Source organism: Homo sapiens, chromosome 3 (assembly GCF_000001405.40).
Source record: "Homo sapiens chromosome 3, GRCh38.p14 Primary Assembly".
NCBI lineage: Eukaryota > Metazoa > Chordata > Mammalia > Primates > Hominidae > Homo > Homo sapiens.
Window position 1 is genome coordinate 39375620 of NC_000003.12, and position 23100 is coordinate 39398719.

Below are 23100 nucleotides of genomic sequence, written 5' to 3' on the forward strand. Positions count from 1 at the left end.
TGAGGTCAGGAGTTCAAGACCAGCCTGGCTAACACGGTGAAACCCCATCTCTACAAAAATACAAAAGTTATCCAGGCATGATGGCGGGTGCCTGTAATCCCAGCTACTCGGGAGGCTGAGGCTGGAGAACTGCTTGAACCCGGGAGGCGGAGGTTGCAGTGAGCTGAGATCATGCCACTGCACTCCAGCCTGGAGAACAAGAGTGAGACTCCATCTCAAAAAAAAAGAAAAAAAATAGGCAGAATTAAAAGTGAATTGTGTGCAATTTAAGTGCTAAGAAGTAGCATCAACTGGATGTCATCCCTTTCATATTTTCATGAGTAACCTCATCCCAAAAAAGATTTCAGTCCAGGCTTCGTTAATATAATCATTGCTTAAAAAATTCTTTGGGCTCAAACTGGAGAAGGAGAGATTTTTTTCCTGTTGAATTCAGATGAAACTAGCATCTTGGAATGCTTGCTCTGGCAGGTACTGAGCCAGGTCCATTCACATTATCACTACCTCATGCAGTTTGCACAGCAATTTGCAGGGAGGGTGGTGTTATTCTCATTTTTACACATTTGAACATTGATGCTCAGAGCAGTTAAGTGACAAGCAGCAGTAAGTGTGGCATATTAATGGGAAAAAGTTTCCGAGATTGAATTCAAATGCCACTACCATCCACTAGCTCACAAAAGAAGAGCTTCCTGCAGAATGGCAGTAACAATTGTTGATCATTCCTTCACACCTGACCCCTCGCCTTTAAGAACTTGTCTATTTATAAGTAATTTAAGAAGCTATGTTTCTCTCCATCTGTTTAGGTAGAGAAGAGCATATAGAGGGAATTGTGAGTAAGCCAGATTAATGCACCAGAAAAAGTAGAAACTGCACCAGAAAAAGTAGAAACTGCACCAGAAAAAGTAGAAACTGTACCAAGAACAGGAAGGACGGATTGGCACCAGTGAATTCAAACAATAACCAGGTAGAAGATAAAAGAAGGTGTTGTCATGTGATGGATTATCCAAAATTCCCAGTGGGGAGGACTAGCTATCTGGACTCAATCATCTACTCTGTCTCCCAGAAAAGGGAGTCTCTGGTTGAGCCGCCTTTTTTTTTTTTTTTTTTTTGAGATGGAGTCTCACTCTGTCGCCCAGGCTGAAGTGCAGTGGCGCGATCTCGGCTCACTGCAACCTCCACCTCCCGGGTTCACACCATTCTGCTGCCTCAGCCTCCCGAGTAGCTGGGACTACAGGCAACCACCACCATGCCCGGCTAATTTTTTGTATTTTTAGTAGGGATGGGGTTTCACTGTGTTAGCCAGGATGATGGCTGAGCCTTCTGATTGTAATAGGACAGTAAGGAGATAAAATAAACTACATAGTCAAACAAGGTGAACCGTCTTAGAAGCAGAACCTGAAGGAACTGGGGAGCAGGAGAGGGAGGCACAGAGGAGCTGGAAGCTGAAAGGAAACAGGCAGGGGAAAGAATGTGTCTTTGAATTGCATATCAGCAAGGCTCTCCAGTGTGAGTGAGACTTGACCAGTTTGTAACTTCCCGTGTACGGAAATCCTTCTAACATGCAAATCTGACCCTTTCATTCTCCTGCTTAAACCTCTTCAGCATAAAGCCTACATTCTCCTACATGGTTGATGGAGGGCCCCAGGCTCTCCCTCTGGCCTCCTCCCTTCCATTCCTTCCCTCCTACTAGACGTTTCCACATTTACAGTTCTAGGAATCTGACATGCTCTCTCTTACCTCTGGGTATTTGTACATGCTCTGCAAGATGAAAACAGACTCATCTATTAGTAAATGCTTGAATGAATGAGTCAAATCGGAAGGTACTGGGGACAGTCCACCACCCCTTTTGGACTTTTCAGGTCTCAAGCAGTAGCCACCTCCAGTCTGATACAAAGGATTACTCCCTCCCCAGTGCCAGCTGGAGCCCCATCATGGTGAGGCTCTACAATGAGTTCATGGAGAAGACTGTGGATGGGTCATGGACAAGACTTCCAGGTTGTTGGTGCTCTGTGCAATTCCTTAAAGAAGCAGACCTTACTAAGATTGCTAAAGCTGTCCCTGGTATGTTGAAACCCCCTACACCAGTAGGGTTTAACTGGGCTTGCAGGGGTGCTCTAAATAATACAGAACTGTTGGCAAAACTTTGTTTATGCATATGCATTTTCCTCAGTGCAATCTGTGCCCCAGCCTATCTCCTATATCTCCTCTGTGGCTTGCATTAGCCTGAAAGTCAGGACCAAGGGAGTCTGGAGATCATGATCCCTGATTCATATGATATTAGCCCAGAAAAGGAACTTGGAGCCACTTAGTTCAAGGCCCTCATCTTACACGTGAGAAAGCTGAAGCCTAGAGAGGTGACAATGAGTTTTTGTCAGATATTGGACTAGCATCAGAAACTCCTGACTTTTAGTTCAGTGTTCTCTCCACTTCTATCCGAAGCCACTCCTGGCATCTCCTTATACTTTCCCACCACAGCTGGTCTCCTGTATAGACCAGACAGATGAAGCATACATGAGGAATTGGAAAGGGGCAGCGTCTGGGACCAAGGGCCAGTGCCTTCACCCTGGTACACCCAAGGCCAGTAGCTCAGTGACAATGCCAGTGGGACTATCAGGTAATTTACAGACACCTGAAGCCAGGACCCAGAACCTGTTGGGAACAGGACACGTGTTCCCTCTAGTGGCCAGTTTGAGCTGAGCTTCTGACTGGGTGAAAGAGAACAGATGGGAAAGAATGGCAGATGATGGAGTGCCACGCGTGTTAAGAAACAAAGGGGCCAGAGGGAAAGACTTCTAATTTACATACCTAATCTGTCATTAGAAATTCTGCTTTGAGATTTTTGGTAAAAATGCAGATGTTTGGTAAGTATTTGGAATTAAAAAAACATAGACACAGGGTCTTGCTCTGTCACCCAGGCTGGAGTGCAGTGGTGCAGTCATAGTTTGCTGCAGCCTTGAACTCCTGGGCTCAAGAGACTGTCCTGCCTCCACCTTCCGAGTAGCTGGGACTACAGGCTCATTCCACCACACCTGGCTACTGTTTTTATTTTTGTAGAGACAAGGTCTTGTTATGTTGCCCAGGCTGGTCTTGAACTCTTGGGCTCAAGAGATCCTGCTGTCTCGTCCTCCCAAAATGCTGGGATTACAAGCCGGAGCCACTGAATCTACCCTAAGTATTTAATTTTATATATGGGAGGCTTCACTCTTGACCTCTAATTAAGGCCCATAAACTGGCCAGGCGCAGTGGCTCACATCTGTAATCCCAGCAATTTGGGAGGCCGAGGCAGGCAATCACCTGAGGTAAGGAGTTTGAGACCAGCCTGGCCAACATGGTGAAACTCCATCTCTACTAAAAAAACAAAAATTAGCTGGGCGTGGTGATGTGCGCCTGTAATCCCAGCTACTCAGGAGGCTGAGGCAGGAGAATCACTTGAGCCCGGGAGGCGGCGGTTGCAGTGAGCTGAGATTACACCATTGCACTCCAGCCTGGGCAATAGCACAAGACTTATCTCAAAATAACAAACAAGAAAGTTGAGGTGAATACACAGCTAGCAGGTGACAAATCCAGGATCAAATACAGAATCAATGCCTGATTCCAAAGTCCACTTTCTTTTTACAGCATTACTCTGCCTCAGTGGTCTCTCAAAGACACACAGAAAAAAGCAGGAGATAGCCTCTACCCTTTAAGGAAGGGAAACAAGGTGTATTTGTCAGGGAAATATGTGTCCTGATTTTCTTTCATCCAGATTATGAAAGATAATCTCCTTTACTTAAAGTCAACTGATTACAGAGGTTAACCACATCTACAAAATACCTTCACAGCAACACCTGGATTAGTGTTTAATTGAAAACTGGGTATTATAGCCTAGCCAAGTTGACACATAAAACTGACTGTTACACAAGATGCTGCTTATAAATGAAGTCATTCTGTCCAAGATAAAGAAAAGCTGGCCTGGCATGGTGGCTCATGCCTGGAATCCCAGCACTTTGGGAGGCCAAAGTGGGCGGATCACCTGAGGTCGGGAGTTTGAGACCAGCCTGACCAACATTTTGCTAATTTTGCTAAATGCAAAATTAGCCAGGCGTGGTGGCGCATGCCTATAATCCCAGCTACTCAGGAGGCTAAAGCAGGAGAATTGCATGAACCCAGGAGGCGGAGGTTGTGGTGAGCCGGGATCGCAGCATTGCACTCCAGCCTGGACAACGAGAGTGAAACTCTGTCTCCAAAAAAAAAAAAAAAAAAACCTTCCACATATGGATAGAGCTATAAGCAAACCACAAAACCACAAGTGGGTCCTGCTTACCCCTGTGGGAAATTCAGATCAATCAGGACCTAGAAGATTTGTGACCAGAAAATATGTGCTTATGTTTATAAACTTTTAGCCAAAATGTTGCCCGTTTCCTCATTGTGAAGAAAGCAGGAAAACAAGAAGAGTTTGATTTTTTCCATAAGATGGGGAACTGCTTTGTCAAAATATTGATGGAGTGACTTGTGGCTTCCATATGACAAAACACAAAACACCACACTGCCTGGGCACGCACCATGGCTCCTCTCCCTTCCACTGCCCCTAACAACTTGGTCCTTGGAGTAGAATGTGAAGATCCCACTCCTGCAGGAACGCAGTCCACCCCACAGAGCCATCTGCCCCTCCCTCGGATACCAGCTTGTAAGCCGCTCTAACTCATTGTTCTCTCGTAGCCTGGTCACCCTTGGCTCAGGGGTGAGGTTACAGGCAATAGTCACTGGCACAGAAGGAAGAAAGGTGTTTCCTTCTTGTGAAGCCAAAAGCAGTGACAGGACCATCCTCTTTGTGGAAGTTTCTGGGTAAAGCCATTAGAATTCCCTTTTTTTCTGCAGTATTCACCCATTCTTGTGATCAGGCAAAGAGTGGCTTCCCCCACTGGTGAAGACAGTGCCCTTGGAGACTCTTAAGGCTTCTCTTTCAGGTTGTGCATGTTTAGGATGGGAGCAGATATTCAGATGGAGAGGAGCCTCCATTAGTTACAGGACGAAGACTATCATAAGATGCCCATTAGACCTGAGAGGCCAGTAGGCATAGAGAGACTGATGAAGATGGGCGGTAAGGGAGGTTGTAGCAGAGAGAATGCATGGTATCTCCCCTCTCAATCCCCTATTGGTTTCCAAAAGGCAAAGGCTGGCCTCATTGTTTTGGCATCAGTAGAAGAGAAAATTTAGATATTTCCAGAAGCAGCTCTGGCTCCAGGCAGGTAGAAAGATCTTGCTGAGCTGGTCTGCTGGAAACATGGAGGTGGGGGCAGTGATTTACCTGTGTGCTTTTCACCATTCCAGCCATCTTCTTACAAATGAAGTGACGCAGATGCAAGGTGCTGCAAGGCCCACCTCCTCCTGCTCTGACAGGCAGACAGGAAACCAAAGCCCCTATCTGAGCAGCCTCTGTCTCTCCCATTCACCTCCAGCTTCCCATGTGGACCTTTGCCTTTTCCTTCTTGGATGGTGGAAACTCCTCCAGATGTCAAGACTTGCTGTGAATAAAGTTTTAAGAGGAGGTCATGTATCCAAACTGATACATGTGTATTTCTTCCTGGGTAGAGGGTGTCTACAATCCTTGGGATGGGAAAACATCATGTAACCTGATCATACAATCCAGAAAACATGGGCCACTTTGGATCTTTGAGGGACCAGTGTGTAATTGAGGGAAGTTAGGTCATAAGAGCCAAATCACCTTCCCTTGACTGCAGATAAATCCATTAAGGCTTGCCTTATGCTAATGACCTTGTTTTGAATTAAAGTCACAATGTTTTCTTTTTAAAAAAAAAAATTCACTCCTCCAACTTTGCCATTAAGTACTGCTCCAAACCCCCCACTCATCTGCCAATGGGTGATGCTCTTTCCCCATGATCATTATATATCTCTGCATCCCCACAAACATCCAGGGGAGGAGATGTGGGAAAAGAAGGGCCTGTGGGCTTTAGAGTTATGAGTAAGCATGGCAGGAGCAGATACAGAGGAGGGAAATCTGCCAGCTGCCACCCTTGAAAGCCAGCCCATTTCTTCTGAGCCCACAGCCAAGCAGGCATACCTGGAAGGGTGAGGGAGTGGAGGGCCGGCTTTCACTCTAGATCCCACCTGTGTTCCCACACCCAGAGTGGCCAAGAGCAGTCTCTAAAATACGCCAACCCATGATTTCTCAAAAGTAGGGATTCTTGTCTTATGGAATCAGTGCAGCGGGGGTGGGTGTCAGGGTGGAATTAGGTCTTCCTTTAAAAAGAAGTTTCAGTGCATAGTTATCAACATCACTACTGCACAAAGAAAAATAAGCCTTGCAGCTTAGAACAAAGGGTAGCAAAGTATTCAATCACCAGGCAGGTTTGTAATTTTGTTTCGTTTTGTTTTTTGAGATGGAGTCTCGCTCTGTCGCCCAGGCTGCAGTGCAGTGGCACGATCTCGGCCCACTGCAAGCTCCACTTCCTGGGTTCACGCCATTCTCCTGCTTCAGCCTCCCGAGTAGCTGGGACTACAGGCGCCTGCCACCACACCCGGCTATATTTTTAGCAGAGACGGGATTTCACCATGTTAGCCAGGATGGTCTCGATCTCCTGACCTCGTGATCGGCTCGCCTCGGCCTCCCAAAGTGCTGGGATTACAGGCGTGAGCCACCGCACCCGGCCTGTAATTTTTTTTTTTTTTTTAATGTTTATACTTTCCTTAATCCTTTCTGGGAATAACCTCCTCTGGGACCACTTTCCTTCCTGTTCTATGTACCTCAGAAGCACAGGAATGAAGCCTGAAAAAATATTATCTTGCTCCCTAAGTCACTTTCCTTTCTGATCTAGTTCTTGGGTGATGAATGAAGGTGGAAAGTAGCGAAGGTTGCTATGAAAAGCTTGGACTTTATTACCAGGGCCACTGCATTTTCAACAGGAGTGTCAGGATCCCAGCAGTAATGCTTTTCCATGGATCAGCCAGACAGGCATAAGGGGAAGTTGGGAGACCAAAAAAGCCATTGACAGATTCCAGGTGAGCAATAAACCAGAATTTTGACCAACTAGACCAGCGCTGTCCTACAGAAATGTAATGGGAGCCACATGTTAAAGTTTAAATGTTTTACTAGCCACATTTAAAAAGAAACACATGAAGTTATTATTATTTGTTTTAGAGACGGGGTCTTGCTTTGTCGTCCACGCTGGTCTCCAACTCCTTGGCTCCCTCAAGCAATCCTCCAGACTAGGCCTCACAAAGTGCTGAGATTACAGGCCTGGGCCACTGCCCCCGGCCTGAAGTTAATTTTAATATTTCACCTAACCCAATATATCCAAAATATCATTTCAACATATAAAAATTATTGAGATTTTACCTCACCAGTCTTAGACATCCAGCGTGTGGTTTATGCATACAGTACATATCAATTCCACACTAAATTTTCAGCATTTAAAGGGAAATATGGTCCTGAAAAAAAAACAACAAAACAAAAAAACGCCTGTTTAAGGAGAAAGCATTCCACACTGCTTGTTTTAATATAATTAAAATTAATGTATCAATTAATAAATCAATAGCCCACGTTGGCTAGTGGCTGCCTTACTGGGCAGACCAGGTCTGGATTGTAAATACGTTCAGACGTTCCACGCAAAAGCAAAGTTCCCTGCAGACGCTCCATTAAGTTCTGGGTGCAAGGAAGCGCGGATCCTTCAGTTCTGGGCGTTTTCACCAGGTGGCACTCAGAACACCCTCACGTGACAAGCGTCCCACCCGGAAGCGAAATCTCCCCTTCTACAGAGTTCCTCCGGCGCTTCCTCCACCCCGGGATACACAGAACCTCATCTCCTACGGTGCTGAAGCCTGCAGCAGGGCAGGATGGGCAGGAGAGCAGAGCCGCGGAGTCTGCGGCGCGGGTGAAGAGCGGCGCGTAATTCCCGCAGCAAGATTGTTCCGCGCCCGCAGCCCCTGGACTAGCAGGATCCGAACCCCGGCGGCTGCGTGCTTATAGGCGCAGACGTCAGAGAGCCCGCGGCTTAAAGCGCGTCGCCTGGCTAGCGCCACCCCCTAGCCTTCTTCAAGGCCTCCAGGGCTGGGCCCAAGCGCCCGTCGACGGCACCCTGGGCCCAGAGGACTCGCGGGCCTCATCTCCAATGATTCAGAACTCACGTCCGTCGCTGCTGCAACCCCAAGATGTCGGAGACACGGTGGAAACGCTTATGGTGAGGGCACTGCGGGGAAGGAAGGGCAGGGGTCCGAACCGCGGGCTCGGGCCGGAGAATTCGGGGCGTTGCTAAGGCTCGGCTACCCTTTTCCGCGCCCCAGGGTGCGCTCAGGATTTAGGATGCGGCGGGAGAGGAGTCTGACTAAGGGAATTGAGAAGGGGGCAGGGAGTGAGGAGAGGCCAGGAGCTGCAGGCCAGCCCTGGGGGCAGGCGCTGTAGGGCCGATGTCCCGGTAAAGGGCGGAATTGCCGGGGCCTGGACTGGACGCGTGCCGGGGAGTGTGCCCGCGCGGCCCCCACAAGGTGCGAGTAGGCTGCCAGGTGGAAGGGCACCCGGGCAGATTTGGGACGGTCACAAGGCCTGATAATAGCGCTGACGCTGAGAAGCCGTTGATGCCGCAGCGAGCTGGCCGGGTAGCGCTGTGCGCCCGCGGGCGGCGGCCTACCTGGAGGGGCCAGTCGTGGCGGCACCCTTCCAGCCTGTTGGGACGGCGCGTGGTCCCCCAGCGACGCCACGCCTCCTCCGGCGTTCGATTGGTCATCGTGCCCGGGCCGCCGGGCCGCTATTGGTGGAGGCGGAGGCGGGGCTGGCGGCGTGGTTGCCCGGTAGGTGGAGTCGGGGTGCAACCAGTCTTTAGACGCTAAAGGCCTGAGGCCACTGCAGCTGCCGCAGCTCTCCCTCTGAGGTCTTGCGCCCGAGGTAGGGGCGGCTTTTATTTTTTTTTTTAATCCTTAAAGGCGGAGACGGCGGCGGTGGCGACTTTACGTTGACGTCTTTGAAAACCTGCTTACCTTTTTCAGGGCTCTCCAGCCCTCGCCTCCAGATGTGAATTGGACTTAGGATAGTTTTTTCAGGGCAGTAGGAATTGCTTGTGGATCCAGTTTGTACTCTTATGTGCTACTTATTTCGTGTGCGTATTATTGTTTATGCCCTCTTCTTTCTCCCCTTAAAAAGAAACTACTTTTTTATTTACCTTGAATATATTTTTGAGCTTTCTTTTCTTTTTTCTTTTTTTTTTTTTTTGAGACAGAGTCTCGCCCTGTCGCCCGCGCTGGAGTGCAGTGGCGTGATCTCGGCTCAACTGCAACCTCTGACTCCCGGGTTCAAGTATTTTTCCTGTCTCAGTCTCCCACGTTGCTGGGATTACAGGCGTGCGCCACCACGCCCGGCTAGTTTTTGTATTTTTAGTAGAGAGAGGGTTTCACCATGTTGGCCAGGCTGGTCTTGAACTCCTGACCTCAAGTGATCCGTCTGCCTCGGCCTCCTAAAGTGCTAGGATTACAAGTGTGAGCCACCGCGCTTGGCCTTGAGCTACTTTTTAAAAGTTAAGTTCACTCGCAAAGGATGTGTGCCATTCACCATTGACAAAAATCTTAAGACCATTCAGTATTACCTGTTGGGATGGTTTTTGTTGTTGTTGTTGTCTTGTTTTTGCCTATTAGAAGTTGATCTATACTGCTAGTATAAATAACATCTGCTCTGTGCTAATGGACTGGGAAAAGTACAAAGCTAAAAAAGTTATTGGCTCAATAACTTGAGCCAATAACATGTCTAATCACTGTGCTGTGAAATAAAAGACGTTAAGAAGATATTTCCTGCAATCAAGGGTGGGAAGGTCAAGGACAGCAGCAAATTTGTTTTAAAACAAATTCCACACAGCACCTGTGTGAGCACTGGGGAAGCAGCGCCTAACATAACTGCCCAGAAACTAACTGCAGGTCATTCCTATAGCCTTGCTGGAGCAAGGGGCCTGGAGAGAGGTGGGGGAGATTAACCCATCCTGGGATGAGTCATGCAGGGCCCACCGAGCCCTATCATGTGGGATTGTGCTCAAAGGGAGAGCATAAGGTTTCCTGTTAGGTGGTAAGATTCATTCCGCTGTCACTGCTGAACACCTACTGTGCACCAGGCTCCGAGGTCAGTTCTTGAGATATCACCATGAACAAGACAGGCAGGAGTTGTGACTATTCTGTCTTTGACACGCAGTCATAAGGGAGATGGGGACAGGTGTTGCTGTAGAAGCCGGAAGGAGAGGCACTGAACTTGGACATGGGGGAGTTAGGGAGCAAGACCGGTGCTAGGGCATAACAACATGTCAGAGTTTTCAGAGGTGAAAGTAAGGCGGAGTCCTCCAGTATGGCTGCAGAGTGTGTTAGTGGGAGGGTGAGAACATAGGCCAAAACGGTTAGCAGGAGCCCTGTGATACATGAAAGGCCCTGCAACCAGCAGTTTGGACTTTATCCTGAGAGGAATATGAACCAATTAAAGGGTATTGGTTTGGTTGGGTTTTTTAAAATTATAATTCAATTAGTATTAATGACAAATTTGTGGGATACTCTGTAGCTCCTAATACATTTGTCATTACTTGTATTTTTATTCCATCTTTTTTTTTGGTCTTGTTTTTAAGCTAGTAACTTCAAATTTCACAAAACATTATCTTTCATTGAAGGGTTTTATTTCTGAAAGCAGCATGATCAAATTTGCAGTTTTAAAAGATGACTCAGGCGGGGCATGGTGGCCCACACCTATAATGCTAACACTTTGGGAGGCAGAGGTGAGCAGATTGCTTGAGTCCAGGAGTTTGAGACCAGCCTGTGCAACATAGCGAAACCCCGTCTCTACAAAAAAATTAGCTGGGCACGGTGACACACACCTGTGGTCCCAGCTACTCGTGAGGCTGAGGTGGGAGGATCACCTGAGCCTGAGAGGTCATGGTTGGCAGTGAGCCATGATTGTGCCACTACACTCCAGCCTAGGCATCAGAGCAAGACCTTGTCTCTAAATAAATAATAAAACAGAAGATGACTATGGCTTCAGGGTAAAGAGTGGATTAGAGGGGTCATATAGATGACAAATGGGTAAAAAATTGGTGGCCGTCACCAAGGCAAGAGATAACAGGGTTCTCAGCTGGAATGGATTGGTGGATTTGAGAGCTGTTTTGGAGATAGAGTGAACAAGTGTGGAGAGGCCAAGTCCAAGGATGGTGCTCAGGTTTCTGGCTGGGGTGCTAGAGAAATGGCATGGCATTCACTGGGATGGGGCACCTTGGAGGAGGAGCTGGTCGGAGGTGTGGGAGAAAGGTAAGTTCAGGTTTGGAAACATCATCTGAGGTGGCCATCTGAGTACGTGGCTGTGTGAGACTGAGCTCCAGCGAGAGGCTGAGAGTGTGGAGGGGAGGGTGGAAATGGAACCCTTGGAAGTGGATGAAGAGCCATGGGAGTATGGTTCATTTAAGGGAGAGGCCAGAGAAGTGGGAGGAAACCCAGGACAGTATTAATCTCTGAAGCCAAAGGAAGAGAGCATTTCAAGGAGGGAGTGGTGGTGAATAGTGGAATGCACTGAGTGGCCTAAGTATCCTGGATTTTCACTTTAGACTGGGTGGTATGGTGAAAAGAGTATGAACTTTAAGTCCTGGCCAGTGGCTTCAACCCCTGTGACATAGGACACATTTGTAACCTCTGTGAGCTCCAGTTTAATCTGTAAAACGGGTTTAAAATACCTAGCTCATAAGATGCTATGAGATTTTGAGGTGGTGTCTATAGATGCCTCGCCCAGTGCTACTCTGGGAGCAGAGTGGAGGGTGGGTTGGCATAGTTGAGGCTGGAGACTGCTGCAGAGGTCATTAGGATGGATCAGTGGAGGCCAGACTGGGAAGATTGAGGGCTTGGTCAGTGGGACTTGGTCATGTAGCAGCAGGCATGGTGAGTTTTATGTGTCTCTGAGGTTTCCAACCTGGATTCCTGGAGTATCCCAGTGTGGATTGGAGAAGAGGCAAGTGTGTGGAGAACTGTTGACCAAGTTTCCATTTTGGACATGTTGAATTTGAGATGCCTGTGGGCCATTTGAGGGAAGACAAGGAGACATTAGCAGAGTCTGGGGAGAGGCCAGCCTGGGCTGGAGATGTGGGCATTACCAGCATGTGTGTGAAGCCTGGATATGGGTGAGGTTACTCTGAAAGGAGATAAGAGGAGCAGTCCTATGTGAAGGGCAGGCCAAAGAAGAGAAGGAGAGAGAAACCAGAAACTGTGAGGAGAGGCACTCAGCTATATGGCATGTACCAGAGAGGCCAAGTAAGATAAGGGCAGGGACAGGAACGGGGTCCTGGGGTGCAGCAGGTGCTTGGTGAGCCCTCAGAGGCTGTGTTAGTGGAGGAGATTTAGCTGGATAGCAAACTGGGGGGGCCTGCGGAGGGACTGGCACAGAGCAAGTGGAGATGGTGTAGCGTCAGGCTGGAAAGATGGATGCTTTGGAGCCTGTTGCCTGGCAGAAGAGGAGATGCCAGTGGGAGCGAGAGACCCAGTGTGTGAAGAAGGGGGGCTCATTAATGCCACAAAGTCTTGGGGAGAGACTAGAAACACAGAACTCATGAGAATATTGGTTGGCAGAAGAGCAGGACACCTCTTGGGGAGAGGGAGTTGATGTAGATACAGACTTGCTAAAATACGCACACCTTACTTGGTTTTACCTGTTGTCTTATCAGACCACCCTTTGGTACTTCAGAAGTTATTGCATCGTGGTTGTAAACTCCAGTTTTTAATGACCTTAGTTCCCCCCACCCCCTGCCTCCAACAGTCTTATGAGGAATTCCAGTTATAACTGGCTTCTTTGGTGGAATTTGAGATACACTCTCTTCTCTGTTAAGCAAATACTGCAGATTACAAATATTTCAGTTCCAGGTAAGTAGTTATGTGATGTGTAATGGAAACTTTATATATATTCATCTTAATGTTTTAGGGCCACAATGTGTCATTTATTTAAAAAATAATAGTGCAAATGCCACTTAATAAGGGAAGAGGTCTTTGGGGATGAATTTGCCAAACATTTTTGGAGAAGATAGCTATTTGTTTATTTATTTATTTATTTATTTTAGGGAAGGGGAAGAAGGTCACTGGTTGGATTTTAAGTACCTTTTCACAGTCATTTGTGATACTACTGGGTTCTAGGGGTCTGGAGAAAGGATGCTGTCCTGTAATGATAGCACCAGTGCTGGAAGCTGCAGCTCCTGGAACTAAGGGAGGTATATTTAGTCTTTGAAGGAGTTCCACCCTTCCAGGTGGTGTCTGTAGATTAGCCAGTGTATATGACGGTTCATGGGTTGAAGGAGAAGCAGCAAAGCCAGGGGAGGCTACTGGTCTGTAGGACTGTGTGATCTGCTTAGGGCCCAGTGAGATGGTAAGGGGAAAGTTTTAAATGAAGGAAATACTAGGTTCTACAGGAAGTGGCACTTACATTTTACACAGTGGTTGAGCTTAAGGTTTCATTTGCTTTGGCTTGGTCCTATAAATACCTATAGGTCTTAGAGCGAAGGGAGTCTGCACATCATCAGTTCAAAGTGAAAGCACTGCATTCAATTGACTTTGCTTTTGCAAAGATAGGGAGATGACCAGTAACTTTTTGAGTCAGAACAAATAGGGAAGAGTGGTCAGTGGCATGGAAATAGTTTTGCTCCCACTGAGCAATATGTCTATCAGCAATACGAAGACCAGAGATACCTCTTGCAGCATCCAATGTCCTCAATAACATTGCAGTATTTTTAATTTCTGGCTATACTTTTTCCTTCTCCGAGGTATGAAGAAAACATGAGGCACCACCAGGTAAGTGTCTAAGAGACCATTATAAAGGAATTTGCTGGTCAGGTATAGAGAAAGGTGAGGCTCACACAGGCAGAGCTACTGACACAATATTGTCTTATCCTGCAGTTACATCCGGTGATCAAGGCTTTCCTGTGTGGCTCCATCAGTGGGACCTGCTCTACCCTCCTTTTCCAACCTCTGGATCTCCTTAAAACACGCCTGCAAACCCTCCAGCCCTCAGATCATGGGTAGGCCCTGCATTTCATTGGGGAACTGATTTCAGCAACTTCTCAGACACAGGAACATCTTTACTGTGTTAAGTCAACTTCCATTCTGTTGGATGTTCAGAGAGAAACACAGGCCATGCCCAACTTTCATATGTTCTCTGAATTGTTTTTATATTTGACATTTCTTTTTAATTAAATGGGGTCCGTTCCTGAGCAGCTTCCTGGAATCGGCTCAGTGACATTTACACTTTATTGTGTTAGCTTGTGATGTTATAACTGTATTGCCTGGCATGAGAGTACCAGGGGATTTTCTGGAAATAACATCAGTATTATCTGTTTTTGTTTTTGTTTTATTTGTTTTTTGAGGCAGATGCTCGCTCTGTTGCCCAGATTGGAGTGCAGAGGTGCGATCTCAGCTCACTGCAACCTCTGCCTCCCAGGTTCAAGGGATTCTCCTGCCTCAGCCTCCCAGGTAGCTGGGATTGCAGGTGCTCGCCACCATACCCAGCTAATTTTTGTAATTTTGGTAGAGATGGGGTTTCGCCATGTTGGCCAGGCTGGTCTCAAACTTCTGGCCTCGAGTGATCTGCCCACCTCAGCCTTCCAAAGTGCTGAGATTACAGGCATGAGCCACTGCACCCAGCCTCTATTGTCTGTTTTGTGTGTGCCAACCTACGAACACATAGAGTATCTCCAAGGTGCATTGTAGAGATTGTTAAGTGTCCTAAAAATGAGTCTATAAAGGAAGTGTTTGAGTGGGGAATTGTTTTATGAGGAAGTGATCTAAGTGATTTTTTCCTTCCTGTCTCCATTTTGTCTGCTTTCAGGTCTAGACGTGTTGGGATGTTGGCTGTACTCTTGAAGGTGGTTCGCACGGAGAGTCTTTTGGGCCTTTGGAAAGGGATGTCCCCTGTAAGCTGCCATCTGGGTCTAGGTTCCCTAGCATCCACTCCTTAATAACCAGCTATTTCTCATCTACCTTACCAGCTCTTAAGGATATGTGAGAGTCAGAAGTGGTGGGAGTACCTATGTGGTCTTATCTCTCATACTACAACTAACTTCTGTTTGAAGGCTCAGGGATATGTTGCATTTGCACATTATGCTTAGATGTGATTTATTAGTGCAGCATAGTCTCTACAGCATAGGTACCTAATGTCCCACCTGTCAGAATGCCCTTGCTCTTATCACTTCAGTAAAAGTGGGATGGTACCTCCACACCAGCATTTCTTTGCTCAAAGGCTTTTTCTGGCCTTAGGGACTCACGCCAAGGAATTAGTGCCCAGCCCAAACCCAAATCAGAAATCCATACACTGATTTCTCTATTATCCCAGTAATGTACTTCAGAGTAATTTTGTGTTTTGTTTTCAAGAGTATAGGCCAGTTATATAACTCACTGTAGGTTTATTTGCAGTTTCTTTGTGATTAGATTTAGTTCTACATTTTTAGCAAGGAGACCACAGAAGTGATGTTGATTTCCTAACCCACAGCACTGTGCATTTCCAAACCCACAGAGTCCTCAACCACTGAAAGATGAGAGTTGGTGTTTAAAATCCCATGTCCCTCCCCACTCAGTTGGAGGGATAACTCTGAGGTGTGTTCTACACCGATTCCCAGAGTTCCCCAGTGGGATTAAGTTGCCCACAGCAGAAACTGGTTTTATAACATCGTTTATTGACTGCCTTCTCTCCTATCTCATGTCCCCCACTTCCCTATTGGTGTTCCTTCCACACCTTAAACAAAGCACTTGCATGCGAATCATCTTGGGGTCTTTTGGGAAAACCCAGCTAAGATAATACTTAAAGTGTTTGGTCTTTGATTTTCTTTTCTCCCTGACCTTCTCTGCAGTCCATTGTGAGATGTGTCCCTGGCGTTGGAATCTACTTTGGCACTCTCTACTCTTTGAAGCAGTATTTCTTGCGAGGCCATCCCCCAACCGCCCTGGAGTCAGTCATGCTGGGGGTGGGCTCTCGCTCTGTTGCAGGGGTCTGTATGTCACCTATCACTGTAATCAAGACGCGCTATGAGGTGAGTTCAACCACTTTAGGGCCTCAGGATAGTTCGGCTTAGCCACTGGGCTCCTGGGGAGTGACCACCGATGTCAACTCCTGATTTGTAATCTAACATAGAGTCTGATGTGGTCAGACAAGCCATATGTGAACTAGATCCCATGGTAATGCCCCATAACCTGCAGTCTGCTTGTTCAGTGCTGAAATGCAGCGCCTCCATGCGAGTCACTGGTTCTGTGCTCTCTTTGCAGAGTGGGAAATATGGCTATGAGAGTATCTACGCTGCCCTGAGGAGCATCTATCACAGTGAGGGGCACCGGGGCCTCTTCAGTGGCCTGACAGCAACTCTCCTTCGAGATGCGCCCTTCTCAGGAATCTACCTGATGTTTTACAACCAGACCAAAAATATAGTGCCTCATGGTAGGGATAAAGGAAGATCTGGGGAAGAGCTATCCTTGAGACATCAGATCCTCACCATTTTCTCTGGGATATGAGACTATGTGTTTCTCTTAGCAGAGTGTTAGGAACTGAGCCATATCATGATTGTGTCAGGAACTGGGATGCAAAGGTGGATATGACAAACTTGATCCCTGCCCTTTGGAGTTTACATCCTATTAAGGCAAACAGTATTTACACCACTATAATTTGGCGGGGTGAGGATAGGGTGGGTGGGAGGGAAATAAAGCATGCTTTGCAGAGTTTCTGCAACAGTACTTCCCAAATTTGATCTTAAGATTGCTGGGTCCCATCCAAGGCCTCTTAGATGAGAAACCTTGGGGTACAACCTAGGAGTCTGTATTTTTCAAGACGCACTTGATGTGATTCTTGTTAAAGTCAGGGAAACAGTAGTAAGTTAGGAGTTTAAAGAAAAATAATATTTTCATCTCCCTTGCTGTGTTCCCAGTTAACATGGTTTTGAGCCCTCCATTTAGGTGGAGATGAAGGTGTCAAACTTCAGTCAGTGGGGGAGGCCCACCCCACCCCACCAGTTAGCTCAGGTTGGGCTAGACATGGACAAAATTGGTAGGCAGTAAACAACGACCCAAGCAGAACAAGGTATTGCTAGAAACACATCCATAGAATGAACCTGCATGTAATAAAGTGTCTATGGATAATTTGAGCAAGGAATTGCAACCAAGGTCCTTTAATTAGGAATGTCAGCATGCCCGCCATCATGACTATGGGGACCAGCTACAGCTGGAGTGCCTTGGGAGATTTGCTGCTTCTACCCAGGCACCAGAAGGTGTAACTCTGCAGGTCACAGCCTTATTTTGTGACAGAAAGTTAAGGCAATAAGGAAGCATAGATGGGCAATTTTTAACTTCTCAATCCATCTTTAAAAATTTCTGAGGCCCATCACTTCTTGGCCTTTTGGCTAAGATCAAGTGTACAAATTTCTGAGGCCTGGTGCGATGGCTTATGCCTGTAATCTCAGCACTTTGGGAGGCCGAGGTGGGCAGATCTCTTGAGGCCAGGAGTTCGAGACCAGCCTGGCCAACGTGGTGAAACCTGGTCTTTACTAAAAATACAAAAATTAGCTGGGCATGGGTGGCACATGCCTGTAATCCCAGCTGCTTGGGAGGCTGAGGCACGAGAATCGCTTAAGCCTGGGAGGTGGAGGTTGCGGTGAGTTGAGATCATGCCACTGCACTCCAGCACTCCAGCCTGGGTGACAAAGTGAGACTCCGTCTCAAAAAAAAAAATCGATCTGGTATTTGGAAATAAACTTGCAAAAAAGCCACAAGAATAGTACAATGTACATATTTTTTTCCTGCCCTTTGAGGGTAAGTTGGAAACATGATGCCCTTTTAACTTTAAGTACCTCAGTGTCTATTTCCTATGAATAAGGACATCCTGTCATATAACCATCTTATGAAATTCAGGAAGTTTAACCTAGATAATTTTTTCTTTTTTTTGAGACAGAGTCTTGCCCTGTCACTCAGGCTGGAGTGCAGCAACGTGATCTTGGTTCACTGCAATCTCCTCCTCCCTGGTTCAAGTGATTCTTGTGCCTCAGCCTCTGGAGTAGCTGGGATTACAGGTGCATGCCACCATGCCTGGCTAATTTTGTATTTTTAGTAGAGACAGAGTTGCACCATGTTGCCCAGGCTGGTCTTGAACTCCCAGGCTCAAGTGATCCTCCCGCCTCGGCCTCCGAAAGTGTTGGGATTACAGGCATGTGGCCCAATTCTTTAACCTACAGTCCATATTCTGATTTCTCTAATTGTCCCAATAATGTACTTCGTAGTAGTCCTGTGTTTTATTTTCAAGAGTATAGGCCAGTTATATACCTCATTGTGGGTTTATCTGCAGTTTCTTCATGATTAGATTTTTAGCAAGAGGACCACATAAGTGATGTTGTATCCTCACTGCTTTATATCGGGAGGGTCATGACATCAATTTGACCCATTATGAGTGATAGTAACACTTTATCACTTGGATAAGATACTGACAGGTATCTTCCCTGAAAACTCACCTATTTTTCCCATTGTAATGTCTAAGTATCTTTGTGGGAAGATAACTTTGAATCTGTATAAACATCCTGTTTCTTTTTCCCACATGTTTTAAAATCAGTCAATGATTCTTGCCTGAGTCAGTTATTGTGATGGTGGTTTGAAAAAGGTGCTTTTCTAACTCTATCATTCCATCCACATAAATTTACTAGTTGCACCTTTAAGTTTTGAATTCGTAGCCTCATTTGAATCCAGACCTTTCTTGGTTTGGGGAAGAATTGGTGGGCAACTTGCACTGACCTTTATCTGATTAATATAAGATCTATGTCCACATGTTACCTTTGTTCTATTTCAGACCAGGTGGATGCAACCCTTATTCCTATTACAAATTTCAGCTGTGGGATATTTGCTGGTATTCTGGCCTCACTGGTAACTCAACCTGCGGATGTTATCAAAACTCATATGCAGCTTTATCCACTGAAGTTTCAATGGATTGGCCAAGCAGTGACACTTATTTTCAAAGTAAGACTACAAAATAAGTACTGGTTCTTGTGGTGTTTAAGGATCTCTTTCTAGAGCAGTAGTTCTTACCCTTCACTCACATTAAAATTGCCTAGAGAGCTTTTAAAAATCCCCATGCCCAGGTTAAAATCTAGGCCAACTATATCAGAATGTCTAGTGAGATTTTTTTTTTAATGTTCCCCAGTGATTTTAATATGTTTTAAGGTTGAAAACCACAAAATTGATATTTCTTTGAGGGGTGGAGACACTTACATTAGGAACACCTGTGATATTTGTTAAACACTGCAGATTGCTGAACTCTACCCCAGACTTACTGAATCAGGAAATCGGGGTGAAATTAGTACTCTAATTGAGGACCTAGGGTAAAGTACTATTTAGTCAGAGGGAAAAAAAAAACCCACACAAACACATTGTTTTATTCTAGCAGTTTGCTCTAATATACAGGTGTCTAGTCTTTTGGCTTCCCTGGGCCACATTGGAAGAAGAATTGTCTTGGGCCACACATAAAATACACTAACACTAATGATAGCTGATGAGCTAAAGAAAAAATGTCACCAAAAAAATCTCATAATGTTTTAAGAAAGTTTACAAATTTGTTTTGGGCTGCATTCAAAGCTGTCCTGGGCCACATGCAGCCTGCGGGCTGTGGGTTGAACAAGCTTGCTCTAATATAAATGGACAAATGGTGGTATTGAAGATAAAAAGTATAGTAGAGGCTGGGTGCGGTGGCTCATGCTGGTAATCCCAGCATTTTGGGAGGCTGAAGCAGGAGGATCCCTTGAGCCCAGGAGCTGAAGACCAGCATGGGCAATGTAAGGAGACTTTATTTAAATTAAAAAAAAAATAAATAAATTACAATAGATGTATACTATCCATAAGCCACTCTGTTGGCTCTTTTAGAACATGTATTGTTATCACAAAGCAGATATTCTTGCTAAAGGTAAATGTGAATTTGTGTTCTTATCTCTATATCTAAAATCAGAAAGTTTTAAAATAATATTTTCTTTATGTGAAATCGCAAATCAACCCAGATTATGAGGGAGGAGGAAGGGGCATTTTTTCTTTAATTAATATGAAGAGAGGGCCACCAAGAGCATACAGTGAATTACAAAAAGATAAGACAAATGACAAGAAGGCACCTTTTCCTTCAGCCTGGATCCAGGATCCAGGGTTTGGCAAGCAGGTTTCTGCCTGGATTTCATCTGCTACTTGGGGCTTAGTGCTTCTGTACAGTATACAAACTGCACAAGTACACAGCAACCCTGCATAAAGACTTTCAGCTAAGAAATCCCCCTAGATAGAGCAGCCTAAAAAGGTAAGCCCAGCAACTACAAAAAAAAAAAATGGTTTTTGGCCAAGCGCGGTAGCTCACGCCTGTAATCCCAGCACTTTGGGAGGTTGAGGTGGGCAGATCACAAGGTCAGGAGTTCGAGACCAGCCTGGCCAATATGGTGAAAACCCCATCTCAACTAAAAATACGAAAATTAGCCGGGCGTGGTGGTGGGCGCCTGTAGTCCCACCTACTCGGAAGGCTGAGGCAGGAGAATCGCTTGAACCCAGGAGGCAGAGGTTGCAGTGAGCCGAGATCGCGCCACTGCACTATAGCCTGGGCGACAGAGCCAGACTCTGCCTCGGAAAAAAAAAAAATTTTTTTTAAGTTCTTTGGTTGTCTCCTTGGACCCATTATTCTTACTTTGGGCATAAAGTTTAGAAACTAAGTCTTAAACATGGGATAACAGAGACCCTCACTGTGGTACCAAGTGGATAATTAATTGTATTGCTACTTTGCTTCCAGAGTTCTGACATTTATTTTCACCATAGGACTATGGACTACGTGGCTTCTTCCAAGGTGGCATCCCCCGAGCCCTCCGCAGAACTCTAATGGCAGCAATGGCGTGGACGGTGTATGAAGAGATGATGGCCAAGATGGGCCTGAAGTCCTGACCAAGAGAGGACTGGGAACGGGTGAAATCTGTTGCCCTGCTTGGTTTCTGCCAAGGGCTGCTGCTTCTTACTATTCTGCAGTAAGATGAAGTCCTACCTGGAAAACCAGGCAGAAATTGTGTTGCCTTTGCCTTCAGTAATCCCCTTAAGGAGAAAATATATGGACCTGATTTCAGCCTTCAGAATCTCCAAAAGAGGAGTCATCAATTCATAGAGCACACTAGGGTGTTAGGAGAGAGCTTTGCATACTCTGAGAGGCTACTTGGAAAGGCATTTTCCCAGGAGAGCTCTGTCAGGTGGCTGCGCTTCAGCCCCACCCCTACACCACAGGGTCTCCTTGGGTATGTTCTTGGGCAAGCAATCACAAAGCCAGAGAAGCTGTAAGCTGCCTGCCGGGCCTGAGGAGCTCCAACCAGGGAAGACTGGATGTGAGGAGAGGAGTCACTGTCACCAGGTCACAGACTGACTGAGGTGATGGTAGGATGAGGAGGAACAGATGCCCTTCTTTAATTGGTTCTCAGTTAACTTCTCAGAGGCTCTGGAGAACGGGACAGTGGCTTTCTAGCCTCTGAATGTTCCAAATAAAATTTTTTGGTCTTGGCCCCTGTACTGTTTTACCTCTAAATTCTGGCATTTTTTTTTCCCTGCAATTAAAGTGCTGTACTTTATTTATTGAACTTTATCATTGAAAGCTGTTTGGAAAACCTAAAAGATGTTGTCACACTTCTGTTTTCTTTACCTGTGCCTTATAAAAATGGACCAAACCCTTTTCTAAAATAAAATAGTTCTAGGGTGGCTGGTTATTGACCTATGTAGGTCCCTAAAACCTAATTTCTGTTCAAAAAAGCAGCTTTACTGAATGATGCAACCATCACTATAAATCAGTTTAAGAACATTTTTATTCCCCAAACAGATCTCTCATGCCTTTTGTAATTAATCCTCATTCTCAGCCCCAGGCCACCACTGATAGGCTTTCTGTCTTCATAAATTTGCCTTTTCTGGATACTTCATATAAATGCAGTCTGTAGGCCGGGTGCGGTGGCTCAAGCCTGTAACCCCAGCACTTTGGGAGACCGAAGCGGGTGGATCACATGAGGTCAGGAGTTCAAGAGCAGCCTGGCCAACATGGTGAAACCCCGTCTCTACTAAAAATACAAACATTAGCTGGGCGTGGTGGCATGTGCCTGTAATCCCAGCTACTTGGGAGGCTGAGGCACGAGAATCACTTGAACCGAGGAGGCAGAGGTTAAAGTGAGCTGAAATCATGCCACTGCACTCCAGCCTGGGTGACAGAGTGAGACCCTGTCTCAAAAAACAAAAAAACAAAGTGACTATACCATTTTCCATTCTCAGCCACAGTATATGAGAGTTCCAATTTCTCCACATCCTTGTCAACACTTGTTATTATCTCTTTTATAGCTATTCTTATTGTGCACTCAAATCTTTTCTTGAAAATTCAGGAAAGATGGCCAGGCAAGGTGGCTCCTGCCTGTAATTCCAGCATTTTGGGAGGGTGAGGCAGGCAGATTACTTGAGGCCAGGAGTTCAAGATCAGCCTGGCCAAAACAGCAAAACCCCATCTCTACTAAAAATACAAAAATTAGCCAGGCATCGTGGGGCACGCCTGTAATTCTAGCTACTCAGGAGGCTGAGGCAGGAGAACCACTTGAACCCAGGAGATGCAGGTTGCAGATCACACCACTGCCCTCCAGTCTGGATGACAGAATGAGACTCCATATCAGAAAAAAAAAAATCAGGAAACAGCCATTACTTTATACAAGAAGCACAAGTTGGGGGGATATTTAGTCTTGTGGTTAAGAACATGGGCTCTAATCCAGGCAGCCCAGGTTGAAAGCTGCTTGCTCTCCACTACCTAGGCATGGCACTGAAACTATGCCTAGGAAATGGGGTTAGTTTGTTTTGGGGGTTTTTTAGGGGGCGGAGAACAAAGTGTCGCCCTGTTGCCCAGGCTGGAGTGCAATCGTGCAATCTCAGCTGACTGCAACCTCCACTCCTGGGTTCAAGCAATTCTCCCACCTCAGCCTTCCAAGTAGCTGGGACTACACGCTGGGCTAATTTTTTGTATTTTTAGTAGAGACAGGGTTTCACCATGCTGGCCAGGCTTGTCTTGAACTCTTGATCTCAAGTGATCCACCTGCCTCAGCCTCCCAGAGTGCTGGGATTACGGGTGTGAGCCAG

General features: G+C 46.3%; 1 protein-coding gene and 2 long non-coding RNA genes across 11 annotated transcripts, besides 6 other annotated features; 2 read left to right on the forward strand and 1 right to left on the reverse strand.

The window, feature by feature from the left end:
* Nucleotides 1–892: 892 nt before the first annotated feature.
* LOC105377037 (uncharacterized) lies at nucleotides 893–5533 on the forward strand. Its single transcript, XR_001740661.3, has 3 exons — nucleotides 893–961; nucleotides 1857–2058; nucleotides 5308–5533. It is a non-coding gene; the product is annotated as an uncharacterized LOC105377037 (long non-coding RNA).
* Nucleotides 2583–2632: a silencer, noted in NCBI's record as "silent region_14225". NCBI's record gives its function as "represses an Ori minimal core promoter by ATAC-STARR-seq in GM12878 lymphoblastoid cells {active_cell/tissue: GM12878}" and the evidence as "EXISTENCE:reporter gene assay evidence [ECO:0000049][PMID:35858748]".
* On the reverse strand, nucleotides 3812–8706 carry LOC105377644 (uncharacterized). Of its 2 annotated transcripts, none has more exons than XR_007096252.1 (3): nucleotides 8622–8706; nucleotides 7334–7425; nucleotides 3812–5501 (listed from the first exon to the last, which is right to left on the reverse strand). It is a non-coding gene; the product is annotated as an uncharacterized LOC105377644 (long non-coding RNA). The 2 variants fall into 2 exon arrangements; XR_002959626.2 differs by lacking the exon at nucleotides 8622–8706 and adding an exon at nucleotides 7538–7644 and having other exon boundaries at nucleotides 4228–5501.
* SLC25A38 (solute carrier family 25 member 38) lies at nucleotides 7751–21732 on the forward strand. 8 transcript variants are annotated; one of them, XM_047448413.1, is made up of 8 exons: nucleotides 8816–12852; nucleotides 13743–13770; nucleotides 13876–13997; nucleotides 14804–14888; nucleotides 15822–16001; nucleotides 16234–16402; nucleotides 18791–18957; nucleotides 20779–21732. In XM_047448413.1, exons 2-8 carry the CDS (start codon nucleotides 13756–13758, stop codon nucleotides 20899–20901), a joined length of 861 nt encoding a protein of 286 aa, XP_047304369.1. In that variant the 5' UTR covers nucleotides 8816–12852; nucleotides 13743–13755; the 3' UTR covers nucleotides 20902–21732. The 8 variants fall into 8 exon arrangements, with proteins under 8 accessions (NP_060345.2, NP_001341727.1, XP_047304369.1 ...); XM_047448414.1 differs by having other exon boundaries at nucleotides 8816–12246; nucleotides 12657–13770; XM_047448415.1 differs by having other exon boundaries at nucleotides 8816–12246; nucleotides 12749–13770.
* Nucleotides 8060–8239: an enhancer, noted in NCBI's record as "active region_19704". NCBI's record gives its function as "activates an Ori minimal core promoter by ATAC-STARR-seq in GM12878 lymphoblastoid cells {active_cell/tissue: GM12878}" and the evidence as "EXISTENCE:reporter gene assay evidence [ECO:0000049][PMID:35858748]".
* Nucleotides 8260–8359: an enhancer, noted in NCBI's record as "active region_19705". NCBI's record gives its function as "activates an Ori minimal core promoter by ATAC-STARR-seq in GM12878 lymphoblastoid cells {active_cell/tissue: GM12878}" and the evidence as "EXISTENCE:reporter gene assay evidence [ECO:0000049][PMID:35858748]".
* Nucleotides 8370–8419: an enhancer, noted in NCBI's record as "active region_19706". NCBI's record gives its function as "activates an Ori minimal core promoter by ATAC-STARR-seq in GM12878 lymphoblastoid cells {active_cell/tissue: GM12878}" and the evidence as "EXISTENCE:reporter gene assay evidence [ECO:0000049][PMID:35858748]".
* Nucleotides 8650–8799: a silencer, noted in NCBI's record as "silent region_14226". NCBI's record gives its function as "represses an Ori minimal core promoter by ATAC-STARR-seq in GM12878 lymphoblastoid cells {active_cell/tissue: GM12878}" and the evidence as "EXISTENCE:reporter gene assay evidence [ECO:0000049][PMID:35858748]".
* Nucleotides 8890–8959: an enhancer, noted in NCBI's record as "active region_19707". NCBI's record gives its function as "activates an Ori minimal core promoter by ATAC-STARR-seq in GM12878 lymphoblastoid cells {active_cell/tissue: GM12878}" and the evidence as "EXISTENCE:reporter gene assay evidence [ECO:0000049][PMID:35858748]".

Coding starts and splice junctions, on each gene's coding strand:
- SLC25A38 (NM_017875.4), top strand. CDS start 8,106: ATGATTCAGAACTCACGTCCGTCGCTGCTGCAACCCCAAGATGTCGGA. Junction 8,175..13,875: donor ACACGGTGGAAACGCTTATG/GTGAGGGCACTG, acceptor CTTATCCTGCAG/TTACATCCGGTGATCAAGGC. Junction 18,958..20,778: donor CAGTGACACTTATTTTCAAA/GTAAGACTACAA, acceptor TTTTCACCATAG/GACTATGGACTACGTGGCTT.